Source organism: Homo sapiens, chromosome 8, assembly GCF_000001405.40.
Source record: "Homo sapiens chromosome 8, GRCh38.p14 Primary Assembly".
Lineage (NCBI taxonomy): Eukaryota > Metazoa > Chordata > Mammalia > Primates > Hominidae > Homo > Homo sapiens.
Genome location: NC_000008.11, coordinates 19620368 through 19632951, shown reverse-complemented (window position 1 = coordinate 19632951; position 12584 = coordinate 19620368). Strand labels below are relative to the sequence as shown.

General features: G+C 38.3%; 1 protein-coding gene across 42 annotated transcripts in view; it reads left to right on the top strand.

The window, feature by feature from the left end:
• Positions 1–12584, top strand: part of CSGALNACT1 (chondroitin sulfate N-acetylgalactosaminyltransferase 1) — a 353748-nt gene that overhangs the window by 124957 nt on the left and 216207 nt on the right. The window contains exon 1 of one of the 42 annotated variants that reach the window (XM_047421966.1): positions 7630–7810. The exons of the other annotated variants lie outside the window; for them this stretch is intronic. The gene's annotated coding sequence lies outside the window, so the exon portion shown is untranslated. Of the gene's footprint in view, positions 1–7629; positions 7811–12584 lie in introns of those variants that run through there. 42 annotated transcript variants of the gene reach the window in all.

Sequence of the window (12584 nt, the reverse complement as noted above, 5' to 3'; positions counted from 1 at the left end):
TACCAAAAAAAAAAAAAAAAGAAAAAAAAATTAGCTGGGTGTGGTGGTGCAAGCCTGTAGTCCCAGCTACTTGAGAGGCTAAGGCAGGAGGATCAATGAGCCTGGGAGGTTGAGGCTGCAGTGAGCTGTGACCGTTCCACTGCACTCCAGCCTGGATGACAGAGTGTGATTGTGTCAAATAAAAGTAAAAGACTCAGCAGAATGTACTCACTCTGCTTAGGTTGAAAGGAAGTTACAACTTTCCTTTCCTGGGGAGAGTTTTCTTAGCACTGCTGAGATGTGAGTATTTCAGTGTTTTACTTGAAGTTTCTTATGTTCGATGTTGCCATATGAAATACAGGGATGGCTGCAGTGATCGCTGTAGATAGCTGCGGGTTAAGAACAGAAGTAATTAAACTTACCGTCCAAAATGCAGCAATTAAAAACCGAGGAAAGGTATTCCAAATGTTATGCTTATTTCTGACGAATGCTTTTTTGATGCTTCCCTTAAATGCTTTGCCATTTGGTTTGGAAGACTTTCTAGGCATCTTTGCCACCTAATTATGGACTATTTCCAAAGCTTTTGAAGAGGTGCCGTAAACGGCAGATAGATAGTTGAGAAAGCGCTTGTTTTTACATGGTTTGATCTTGCTCATTAAGGATTGGAATGTAAAATGGGCCATTTAACAATCTAAGATCCTTGCCAATAATTTTCCAAGGCAGATGTGTTATGTGATTTTGATTATGTAAAGTTACCACATCATAAAGTCATAACTGTGGAAAGTTCACATTTGCAAAAAATGTGAAATTGGGTGATTTCTCTTTCTTCAAGAATTTGGTTTTTGCACTTTGTTTTCCAAACCTTTGTAGAGTTAATGAGCATCAAAAGTATTATGTAAACAAGAAGGTGTAAAATGTAGCTTTGAAATATAGTAAGAAAATATCTTCCACTATTTGAAAATTCAGGCCATAGCAGGTGTAATAACCTACAGCAAAAAGCTTCTTCCTATTTTTCTCTTGTCCCAGATTGCATAAAAAATGTGAGAGAACATCTGGATAAGCTATAGAAGAAGGAAATGCCAGGCCCCTCCCTGCTGCCCTGGCCCACACCTTTTAGTGTCTTAGAAATAGCACAAAGTAATTTAGGACTGCACACTTGTTTAAATCTGAGAAGCTTTGCAAAACACAGTCAAATCCAGAAATGCTAAAGAAAGTGCCTTTATGAGGCTCCTAGTCAACAGAATACAATTTTTATTTTATACTTAAGGTGTCCTCATGCTGTACTAAAAAAGTTCATTTTGGCATATTAGTGAAGGGACACATTTTGACTTGGCTTTTTCAATTGCAAAGTATTTTGGGTAGTAAGTAATATCAGCCTTTCCTTCAGCAATAGGAATTAGTAGTTTTAAAGAATTTTGTTCTCACTGGAGCCCTCCAATTTGATTGGCTGAAGTTTCTGAAAATGACAATTGCAGGCTGAATTCTGGAGGTTTATGAAGACTTGTTTTCTATTTTAGTCTAGAAAAGATACATTTGGGTTAAAATGTAAGCTACAGCTATTAGACACATCCAAGAGACCCGCCTGTTAGAATGTCTGGAATCTAAAACACAGCACCAGCAAGGATGTGGAGCAACAGAAACTCCATTCATTGCTGGTGGGAGTGCAAAATGGTATAGCCACTTGGGAAGACAGTTTGGCAGTTTTTTTTTTCCAAAGCTAAACATAGTCTTAGCATATAAGCGAGCAATCAAGATCATTGATATTTCAACATAAGTTGAAAACTTAGGTGCACACAAAAATCTCATGAAATGCTTATAGCAACTTTATTCATAATTGCCAAAATTTGGAAGTAACCAAAATGTCCTTCAGGAGATGCATGGATAGACCAACAGTGGTGTGGTCATACAAATGGTCTGTTACAAGTGTGCTAACATTAGATACATATCATTATACAATTGTCAAAACCCAGCGAGCTCCAATGAAAACAATGGACTTTAGTTAATAACATGTCAATATTGGCTCGTCAGTTGTAACAAATGTACCAAACGGATACAAGATGGAAATAAAAGGGGGAAACTGTAGGGAGGCGGGTGTCTGGGAAATCTCCATAGTTTATGATCACTTTTTTGGTAACCCTAAAACTGTTCTTAGTCTGTTTTTCAAAAAGAGCCATTAAGGTGTGAGAAGACCTGGAGGAAGCTTGAATGCATATTGTAGTGAAAGAAGCCAGTCTGAAAAAGCTACTATGTAGTTCCAACTATATGACATTCTGGAAAAGATAAAACTATAGAGACAGCAAAATGATCAGTGGTTTTGGTGGTTTTGTGGGGGAGGGATAAAATAGTTGAAGAACAGGGGATGTTTAGAGCAGTAACATTATGCTGCCTGATACTGTAATGGTGGGTACACCTCATTATACATTTGGCAGAACCCACAGAATTGTATACCACAAAGAGTGAATCCTAATGTAAAGTTAATAATAGTGTGTCCATATTGGTTCATCAGTTGTAACAAATATACCACACCAATGCATGATGTTAATAATGGGGGAAACTGATGGGGGTGGTTGGGAATATATGGGAACTCTGTACTTTTTCTCTCACTTCTCCTGTAAGTCTAAAATTGCTCTAAAAATTAAACTCTATTAATTTTTTTAAATTAGCAAGAAATTATATGAAACTCAAGTTTCAGTCTTTACAAATAAAATTTTACTAGAACACACACACATACACACACACACACACACACACACACACACACACACACACACACACACAGAGACGTGGGAACTTGGATGGCTAATCTTCTCTGGCAACCTAACTGTGGCTACCCACAACTGTGCACAGTCAAAGCTGGAAAGTCTTCATTCGGCCCGTGTTGGCCTGGATGGGTAGAGGCCTGCCCAGTTTTTCCACGTTGCTCTGCCATAGCATCCATGGGGCTACACTCATTCTATGTTGAGATCTTTAGGATGTCGGACTCCCCTGATCCCTGAGTCTCTTGTTGACTTACACACAACTTTGATTCTATGCCTGGCCTACTGGGCGTCTCAGAATTTCTCATCTTTAAAATGAGACTCACGTGCTTACTCCTTCTCTGTCATTTTTTCTAATTCAATTTGCATACCCCACAGGGATGCTTTTGAGAGAATGATACATTAGAAGCATAGGTTTCCTTACTGGACAAAATGGAGCTCCTGAAAGAAGGGCTTGATTGAGATGAGTGGATTTGGAGCTGATGTCAAATCAGGTTAGTAGCATTTTGAGGCATAGGTACTTTTACAGCTGGAAAACAACCATAATTAATTATTTGATGCAGTTTTATGCCATTAGGGCTGGAGTAGGGGGCTGGTGTCAAAGTCCACAAATCTCCAAGTTTAACAATGTATATAACATAATGGAAATAATCTGAGTTGTAAAGGCAGATATGCCTCGGTTTGCATTTCACATCTCCAATACCAGGCAGCTGAGTGCCTTTAGGCAGGAGTTGAGCCTCTCTGAAGCTTAGTTTCCATATCTATGAAATGGGAACAGCTATACCTGCTTCATAGTTACCTACGAGGATTCAAACAGACAACACATAACAAATGTCTTATATGGGTCCTGGCATAGCACCAGTTACAGCTTCTGAACAGGTTTCATTTTGAGTACAATGAACTGCCAGTTTTGTTTTTTCCTTCTTGAATGTCTCAGAAGAAAGTCTAATCTGTCCTACTTTTGTCCTAACTCAGATGACCAGGAAAACGTTTTTTAATGTCAAACTAAACGGTTTTTTTCGATTTAAGTCTCTTTCATTTGTCCTGTATCCTCTGGGCATGCTCTCAAAAGTCTTTACAGAAGGTGGCAATTAAACTACTCTCTTGATTTCCCGTAGATTGAATAACTCCAATTACTTGGACCTATTAGAATAAGAGCTGTTTAATATTCCTTTGAGAATGTGCCTTCCCTCTCTCCAGTTTCTCCTTGGTCTCTTAGAAATAAGTGGACCAAAATGGAATACAGTCTTTCCTATGGGACTGACTGACACAGAGGGTGCCAGAAAGATCACTTCCCAGGCCTTTGCATGCTGTGTTTGGTTTACTTTGTCTTTTTGTGTTCTTTTTCTTTTCCTCCCCCCATATTGTTGACTCCTATCCTGACCTTCTGTTTGTCCTGCTTTTCTTTTTTTGTCCTTAAAAAATATTGCTTATTGGAATTCGGTACAGTGGTCATGCATGTAATCCCAGCACTTTGGGAGACTGAAGCGAAGAGATTGCTTGAGCCAGGAGTTCAGGACTAGCCTGGGCAGCATGGCGAGACCCAAAAAACAAAAAAAAAAAGCCTATTGATTAAGACTGAAAGCTCTGGAATTGGACTCCTTGGGTTTGAATCCTACCTCTATTACTTAGCAACAGCGTCCTTGCTCAATTCACTTAAATTTTCTGAAGCTTAGTTTCCCGATCTGTAAAATGCAGTGAACACTGTTGATACGGTTTGGCTCTGTGTCCCCACCCAAATCTCATCTCAAATTGTAATCCCCATGTATCAAGGGAGGGACCTGGTGGGAGGTCACTGGATCATGTGGGCAGTTTCCCTCATGCTATTCTCATAATAGTGAGGGAGTCCTCATGAGAGCTGATGGTCTTAAAAGTGGCAGTTTCCCTTGAGCCTTCTCGCTCCTGCCACCATGTAAGATGTACCTTACTTCTCCTTGGCCTTGCGCCATGATTACAAGTTTCCTGAGGCCTCCCCAGCCATGTGGAACTGTGAGTCTATTAACCTCTTTCCTTTGTAAATCACCCAGTCTTGGGTAGTATCTTTATAGCAGTGTGAGAACTGACTAATACAACAGTATCTACTGCAAAGGTGTAAGGACTTAATGTATTGATGTATGTAAAGTTCTCAGAGCAATGTCAGCACACAGTGCTCAACAAATACTAGCTCCTTTTTATCTTATTTTGAAATCATTTTAGACTCGCAAGAAGTTGAAAAAAATAGTACAGAGAGTTCCCAGGTTCCTTCTCCCAGCTTTCTCCAGTGATAACATCTTTCATAGTTATAGTACTTTATCAAGACCAAGACATGGATATTGTTTCAACACTATTAACTGAACTACTGACTGTATTCAGATTTCACTAGTTTTTTCATCCTGCTTTATTTTTTTAAAGGTAGGAGGTCTTGCTCTGTCACCCAGGTGCTGCAGTGCAGTGGTGTAACCATAGCTCACTGCAGCCTCGAACTCCTAGGCTCAAGTGATCCTCCCACCTGAGCCTCCAACGTAGCTGGGACTATAGGTGCATGCCACCATACCTGGCTAATTTTTTTATTACGTTTTTCGAGACAGGTCTCGCTTTGTTGCCCAGGCTGGCCTTGAACTCCTGGCCTCAAGTGATCCTTCTGCTTCAGCCTCTCTTAAGTTCTGGGATTACAGGTGTGAATCACCATGCCTGGCCTTATGCTTGCTTTTTTGTGTTTGTGTGTGTGTATAGTTTTATGAAATGTTATTACCTCTCTAGATGTGTGTAACTACTGCCAGAGTAGGGATACCAAGTTGTTCCATTTCCAGGAACTAACTTCCTTGTGCAATCTTTTTATAGTTACGCCCTCTTTTCATCCCTAACTCGCTCCCCTTCCAGCAGCCGTGGATCCATCCATGCTCCGTCAGTTTTTGAGAATGCCACATAAGTGGAATCTTAACTTTGGAGATTGATCTTTTTCACTCTCTATAATCTTGAGATCCATCCATCTGGTTTGTGTATTAGTGGTTGATTGCTTTTTGTTGCCAATTAGTATATATGCCATTAAATGGATGGATGGTAGTTTGTTTACTCTCTGAAAGACATTTGGGTTGGTGTCAGTTTCTTGGCTATTACAAATAAAGCTGCTGCGAAAACTGATGTACATTTTATGTGAGAATGTTTTCATTTCTTGAGGATAAATACCCAAGGGTATGACTGCTGAGTCATATGCTAGCTGTAAGTTTAACTTTTTAAAAAACTGTCAAATTGTTTCCGTTAGTGGTTGTACATTTCACATTCCCACCAGCAATGTGTGAGGGACCCAGTTCCTCTACATGCTTGCCAAAATTTAGTATTATCACTATTTTTTATTCTTGCCATTCTAATAGGTGTGTAGTGGTATCTCATTGAGGTTTTAATTTGTGTTTTCCTCTGGCTAAGGATGTACTTACTCACCACCCATATTCTCTTTGGTGAAGGTCTGTCTGTTCAAGTCTTTTGCACACTAAAAAACTTAGATTGTTTACTATTTAGTTTAGCAAGTTATTTAAATATACTGAAAGCAAGTCCTTAGTCAGACATGTATTTTGCAGACATGTTCTCACTTTCTGTTGATTATCTTTTCATCCTATTCCCAAGATACTTTGTGGAAAACAAATTTATAATGAATTGAAATTTTTATGTTACTGATCATGCTTTCAGTGTCATGCCTAAGATTTCTTTGCCTAACCCTAAGTTACAAGGATTTTCTATGTTTTTTCTAAAGGTTTTATATTTTTACATTTACCATTTTACATTGAGATCTAGGATCCATTTTGATCTAATTTTTGTTAAAGGTGTGGTTTAGATTGTAAATTTTTTTTTTCCTTCCCCTTTGGGCCTCAGGATAGCCAGTTGTTCCGACACCATTTCTTGAAAACAGTCTCCTTCCTCCATTCAGTTGCTTTTTAAATCTTTGTTAAAAAATAAATGTGCTGGCCATTCTTACGTAAAGCTATTTCTGGGTTCTGTAATCTGTTCCATTGATCTATGGACCTTTTTCTCTGCAAATACCATGCTGTGTTGATTACTATAGTTACACAGTAAGTCTTAAAACTGGGTATTGTGATTCCTCTGACTTTATTCTTCTTTTTCAAAATTGTTTTAACTTTTTAGTTCTGTTTCCTTTCCATATAAATTTTAGAAGAAGCCTGTGTATATCTACAAAAAATCTTGCTAGGATTATCTGTTAATTTAAATGTTAATACTTTCTTCATCCTGTATGTGTTTTATTGTCTCAGTTTAAAGCTCTTTAAATCTTTGCAAATAACTTTTGAAAAGGCTTTAGAGATTATTTAGCCTGATTGCAACATTTTACTATGGAGAAAATGTAGACTTTTTTTGGGGACAGATTGAGTGAAGTTAGGTGACTTGCCCAAGATTACCCAGGAAACTAACTGGCTTAGGATGAATTCCCCAGCCTCAAACTCCTTGTTCTGTAGGATTTTCCACTTGCCTTAAGGCCCCCTCTCTTAAGCCTACTGAATCTTACTTCTTTTTCGTACATTTTCTAGTTTGTTTAAAGAGATTGTTTAGAATTTCACTGTTGTGTTGCAGAGACAGCATGATCCGCTATAGTATAGAGTCAGCTTGGGAACTTGTTAAAACTGCAGATTCCTATACTCCAGCCCTGGATATTCTAATTCAGTAAGCAAGGTGTGAGGCTCAGGCACCTCAAATTACTGTGATAGAAGTGAGCTGTGGGCCACCTTTTGAGAAACCTGGGATGATAAAAGAGAAACACAGGCCTTGGAGTCAGATAGACCTGGAGTCAACTCCTGACTTTTTAATTTACTTATATAATAGCTCTATGCTTCAGTTTCTTCATGTATAAAATGAGGAGAATGACATTTGTTTTACGTTTTCTTACTGTTTAAACACAGCATGTATGAAGTTTGTAGCATTAAACTTGGTACCCCAAATCAGTGAATGCTACTTCCTTTCTTTTCTTCCTCCTTAATAGACTGCAGTTTAATGCCTATTGGAGGAAGAAACAGCGTGATGTGTGTCACAGACCACCCCACGTCCCTCCTGGTCACTGGGAAGACTATACTTTACAGTCCCTCTCCATCTAGGTAGGGTTGTGATACTCTTTCTGGCCAATGGAATGTGAATGGAACTGACTCGTGTCCCTTCCTGGCTGAGATGGTTCAGTCGTTGATTAGGCTTATCTTTTGTTCCTCTGCATCTACTAGCTGGGTGATAGCAGGATGACAGTGAAGCAAGAAGATGGTGAAACCGGCTGGGTGCAGTGGCTCACGCCTGTAATCCCGGCATTTTGGGAGGCCGAGGTGGGCGGGTCACGAGGTCAGGAGATTGAGACCATCCTGGCCAATATGGTGAAACCCCATTTCTACTAAAAATAGAAAAATTAGCTGGGCGTGGTGGTGTATGCCTATAATGCCAGCTACTTGGGAGGCTGAGGCAGGAGAATCGCTTGAACCCGGGAGGCGGAAGTTGCAGTGAGCTGAGATCTCGCCACTGCACTCCAGCCTGGGCAACAGAGCGAGACTCTGTCTCAAGAAAAGAAAAAAAAAAAACAAGAAGATGGTAAAAGTACAAGATGGAAGGAAGTAGCCTGATCCTCTGAGTCACCATTTGGGGGAGACTCCAAACTCCATTAACACATGAGAGTGATTCAAAAGAGAACTAAAGCTTTGTTGTTTTAAACCACTGAGATTTGGGGGCATGTGTGCAGTACTTAGTGTTAATTACTCCAATTAATATACTGTGTTGGCTATTTTTAAACACTTAAAATTATCTTTTGAATATTATCTTTGTTCTATGTTCTAAATGCTTTATGGTTTATACTAGCTACAGGAAGTACATAAAGACATGTAAGCAGTTCAGTAGGAGATAAAAGCATGATGAGATCTTCACTGGTGGAGAATACAAAATTTTTTAAATCCAGAATATTTTTGTGGGTTTTATGTATATAATCTCAAACATCAGAGGCAGGTCTCTTAGCCAGGTGAAAGTCAAGATAATAATCCCTTGACAATAAGGGCTATCAGGAACCAGAGGTAGTAGATGGTAGATAATCTCAGAGGGGCTACACTGTTGAAGAGGTGGTCCAAATAGTCTAGGGACCGATGGTGGGCATTCTACCACTAGGAGAATGGTGCTGGGCACTAGAAGAAAAGACAAAGGGTTTAGCACGTAATTTACTATGCCACTGCTCATTATAAAATAGAAGATTCTTGTGTTCCATGGAGTAGCTGCCCGGGGACCGGATCTAAAATATTTCGCCATTTGCCTCCAGTGATCTCCTAGACCTTGTAAGATGAGCCTCCTTCATAGGCACAGGCTTAAGTACATGATTCATTAATACAAGAGAGAAATCATCTTAGGTCATTAGATCATTAAGAGGGACCATTATTTCCCCACTTTCAGTGAATAGATGAAAAGCCCATTCTGGCTTAGAGATTTCCCCTCCGAAAGGATTTATTATCAATAGGTCCTAAGTAGTTTCTGATTCATGAATTCTTTAAAAGTTTATTGGTTAATATCCAAACACCTGGGGATTTTCCAGTCATCTTTCTGTTATTCTGGCTCAATTTTACTGAGGTCTGTGAACCTACTCTGTGTAATTTCAATTCTTAGAGATTTGTTAAGTACTGCTTTCTGGCCCAGCATGTAGTTAATTGTTGTAAACATTCTATTTACTCTTGAAAATAATTCACATTCTACAGTTGGTGGATATAGTATTGAAGAGTGTTAATAGTATTGTTCAATTCTTAAAAAATGTGACAGGATATTTTATGCTGTTTATGAGATTGACTTCTCAAATTCAGGTTATAGAGAGGTTAAAAGCAAAAGTATAGAAACATTTTTGTTCAAAATATCTTCACAGATTGTTTTTCCTGTTTCCTCTGTGAACCCCAGAGAAAGGTATATTAAAATATCTATGATTAAGGATTATTATTACTTCTCCCTTTAATTCATCCACTTTTTTCTTTGTCTCAAGGACATGTTATTATATGCATACAGCTTTAGAATTGCTATATCAATCTGATGACAGTGGTTCTTCCCTTAAAGTCTAGTTTGATTAAGCTTTCCCAGTTTCTGTTTGGTTAGTATTTGCATATGTTTTTTAACCCTTTACTGTCAAATATTCTATATCCTTATGTTGAAGGTATGCCTCTTTTTTATTTACTTTACTTTAAGTTCTGGGATACATGTGTGGAATGTGCAGGTTTGTTACCTACGTATACATGTGCCAGGGTGGTTTGCAGTACCTATCAACCCGTCATCTAAGCAGCATACTTCAATTTTATTTTATCTACTGTGTCAATCTTTGTCTTGTAATTGGGGTATCTATTGGCCTTTAATAGAATTACAGATTTAGCTTTCAATCTACCATCTTACTACTTAATTTCTATTTTTCTCACCCATTTCTTGTTTCTTTTTTTCTCCTTTCTTGCCTTATTTTCAGTTAAGTATTACTTTTTTATTTCCCCCCTCTTTATTAGCTTATTAATTACACATTATTTTACATTCTTGTAGTGGTTACATTAGAGAGTGTGTATTTATCTTTGACTTACTAAAGGCTAATTTAAAGTAGTACTTTTACCACTTCCTGGACAATGCAAGGGCTTTAAAATACTTTTAACTCCATTTATACCCCTTTCAAATTTATATGCTACTATCCTGAATAACTTCTAGGTAACAGTAAAATGTAGTAATAGGAATGGGAAGTGATGAATCTTGAATATTTAATCCTTGTTTTGAAATATAATTTAATTATAAGTTCATACGATTTCTTTTAAACAATGGTTACATTTAACAACTGGCTTGTAAAATTCCTGAAAATTTAATAGTTGTCTCTCATGAACCAATAAGATCTGGGTCAAGTACACTATTGAGTGAAGTCATTCCACAGAATTGTAGCCAAGTTTAATAAAGATAGTGCTTGGAATTACATCTCAACCTTCAAACATGGATATATTTAGGATCCCTAAACAATAAAACAACCACCGTGTTTAGTCAAGTTCAACAAATAGGGACAAATTTTAATGATGACCTGGAGGAAGACATTGAGAAGTTTTGTAAATGTGAAACAATGGAGTGCATTATACCTGTATTATAAAAATATTACATAACCGTGTTCCACTGTGCTTTTCTTCCAAATTCTGTTAACCAGTGGCCATTTTGTAGCTTGAAATTGGCCACAATGGACTATTTACTTTATGGAAGTATCGACTACATACCAGGACTTGAGTTATTGTTTGTTGTGTAGGCTTAAGAAAAATGATGAAGAAAATTGAAGATTAAACTTAATAGTATCTGTTGTCTGTAGCATTACATTGTGAATAGCACAAAAAATTGTGGAAAATATTCTCATATCAGAAACAATTATCTGACTTAGCAAAGGAATCACTCTTGCCATTGATGAGTGAATGATGTGTTGTTTTACTCTTTTATTTTTATTTTTTAGAGACAGCGTCTTGTTCTGTTGCCCAGGCTGGGGTGCTGTGGTGTGATCATGGCTCACTGCAGCCTCAACCTCATGGTCTTAGGAGATCCTCCTGTCTCACCCTCCTGAGTAGCTGGGACTGCAGGTGCTTGCCACCACACCTGGCTAATGTAAAAAAATATTTTTTGTAGAGACTGGGTCTTGCCACGTTGCCCAGGCTGGTCTTGAACTCCTGGCCTCAATCCTCCTGCCTTGGCCTCCCAAAGTGCTTGGATTACACATAACAGCCACTGTGCCTGGACATTATTTCTAATAATATATTATTAGAAGAAAATATCAACAAGTATTCATGTTGGAAGTACACTTGTTCATATGCAAACATAGGTTTTCTATAGATACAATAATTGTATAAAAATTAACAAATCAATTGGTTATATGAAATTTAGGATGTGTGACACATGCCTAGCTCAGTAAAATTTATAATAAACTTGTGTACAAAATTCAAGATTTGCAGGGTTTTTTTTCCCCTCATCAATCTGGCTGTTAAACATTTGCCAGCACACCTCTGACCTCACTCCTTCAAAAATGCAGGCAAAAGTTTTATCATTGTGTCAACTGACTTTCTTAAGAATCCTAGAATGAAAATTAAACAGACGTCACTAACTTAAATACAGTAGTTACTTCTTTATCACTTCTAGCATTCATTTCTTTATTATGGTTTTCCTGATAAAGAACTCAGACTAGTTGTTCATTTTTCATTTTCGTAAAAATGACCAAGACCTCTAACTTCTCACAACATTTTTACGGTGTTAAGTTTCTATTTTTTCAGAATGCAAAATAGATGATTCCCACTGTTCTTCTAGCAGATTTGGGGTGTGAGAGTATCTCACAGCCCCCACTTAAGGGATCCATGTTCCCTCTGATGCTCCTGGTTGGACTTGAGAAGGAGCATCTGGTAACTTTCAGTCCGTGGCTACATACCAGAGTGTTAATATTCTTTCTCACCCACTACCCTTAACTGAGGATATCTTAAAAATAAAAGCTAATTTTTTAAAATTTAAAAAAGGGGTTGGGCATGGTGGCTCATGCCTGTAATCCCAGTGCTTTGGGAGGCCAAGGTGGGAGGATTGTTTAAGCCAGGAGTTGAAGACCTACCTGGGCAACGTAGTGAGACCCCCATCTCAACAATACAAAAACATAAATTAGCCAGGCCTGGTGGTGGATGCTGTAGTCCCAGCTCCTCAGGTGGCTGAGGTGGGAGGATCGCTTGAGCATGGGAGGTGGAGACAGCAGTGACCTATGATCGTGCCACTGTACTCCAGCCAGCCTGGGCAACAGAGCAAGACCCTTTCTCAAGAAAAAAAAAAAAAGATTCTTTTCCAGCCCTTGGAAATCCTCTGTACTGAATGATGATAGTGTTTTAATGAGTACTC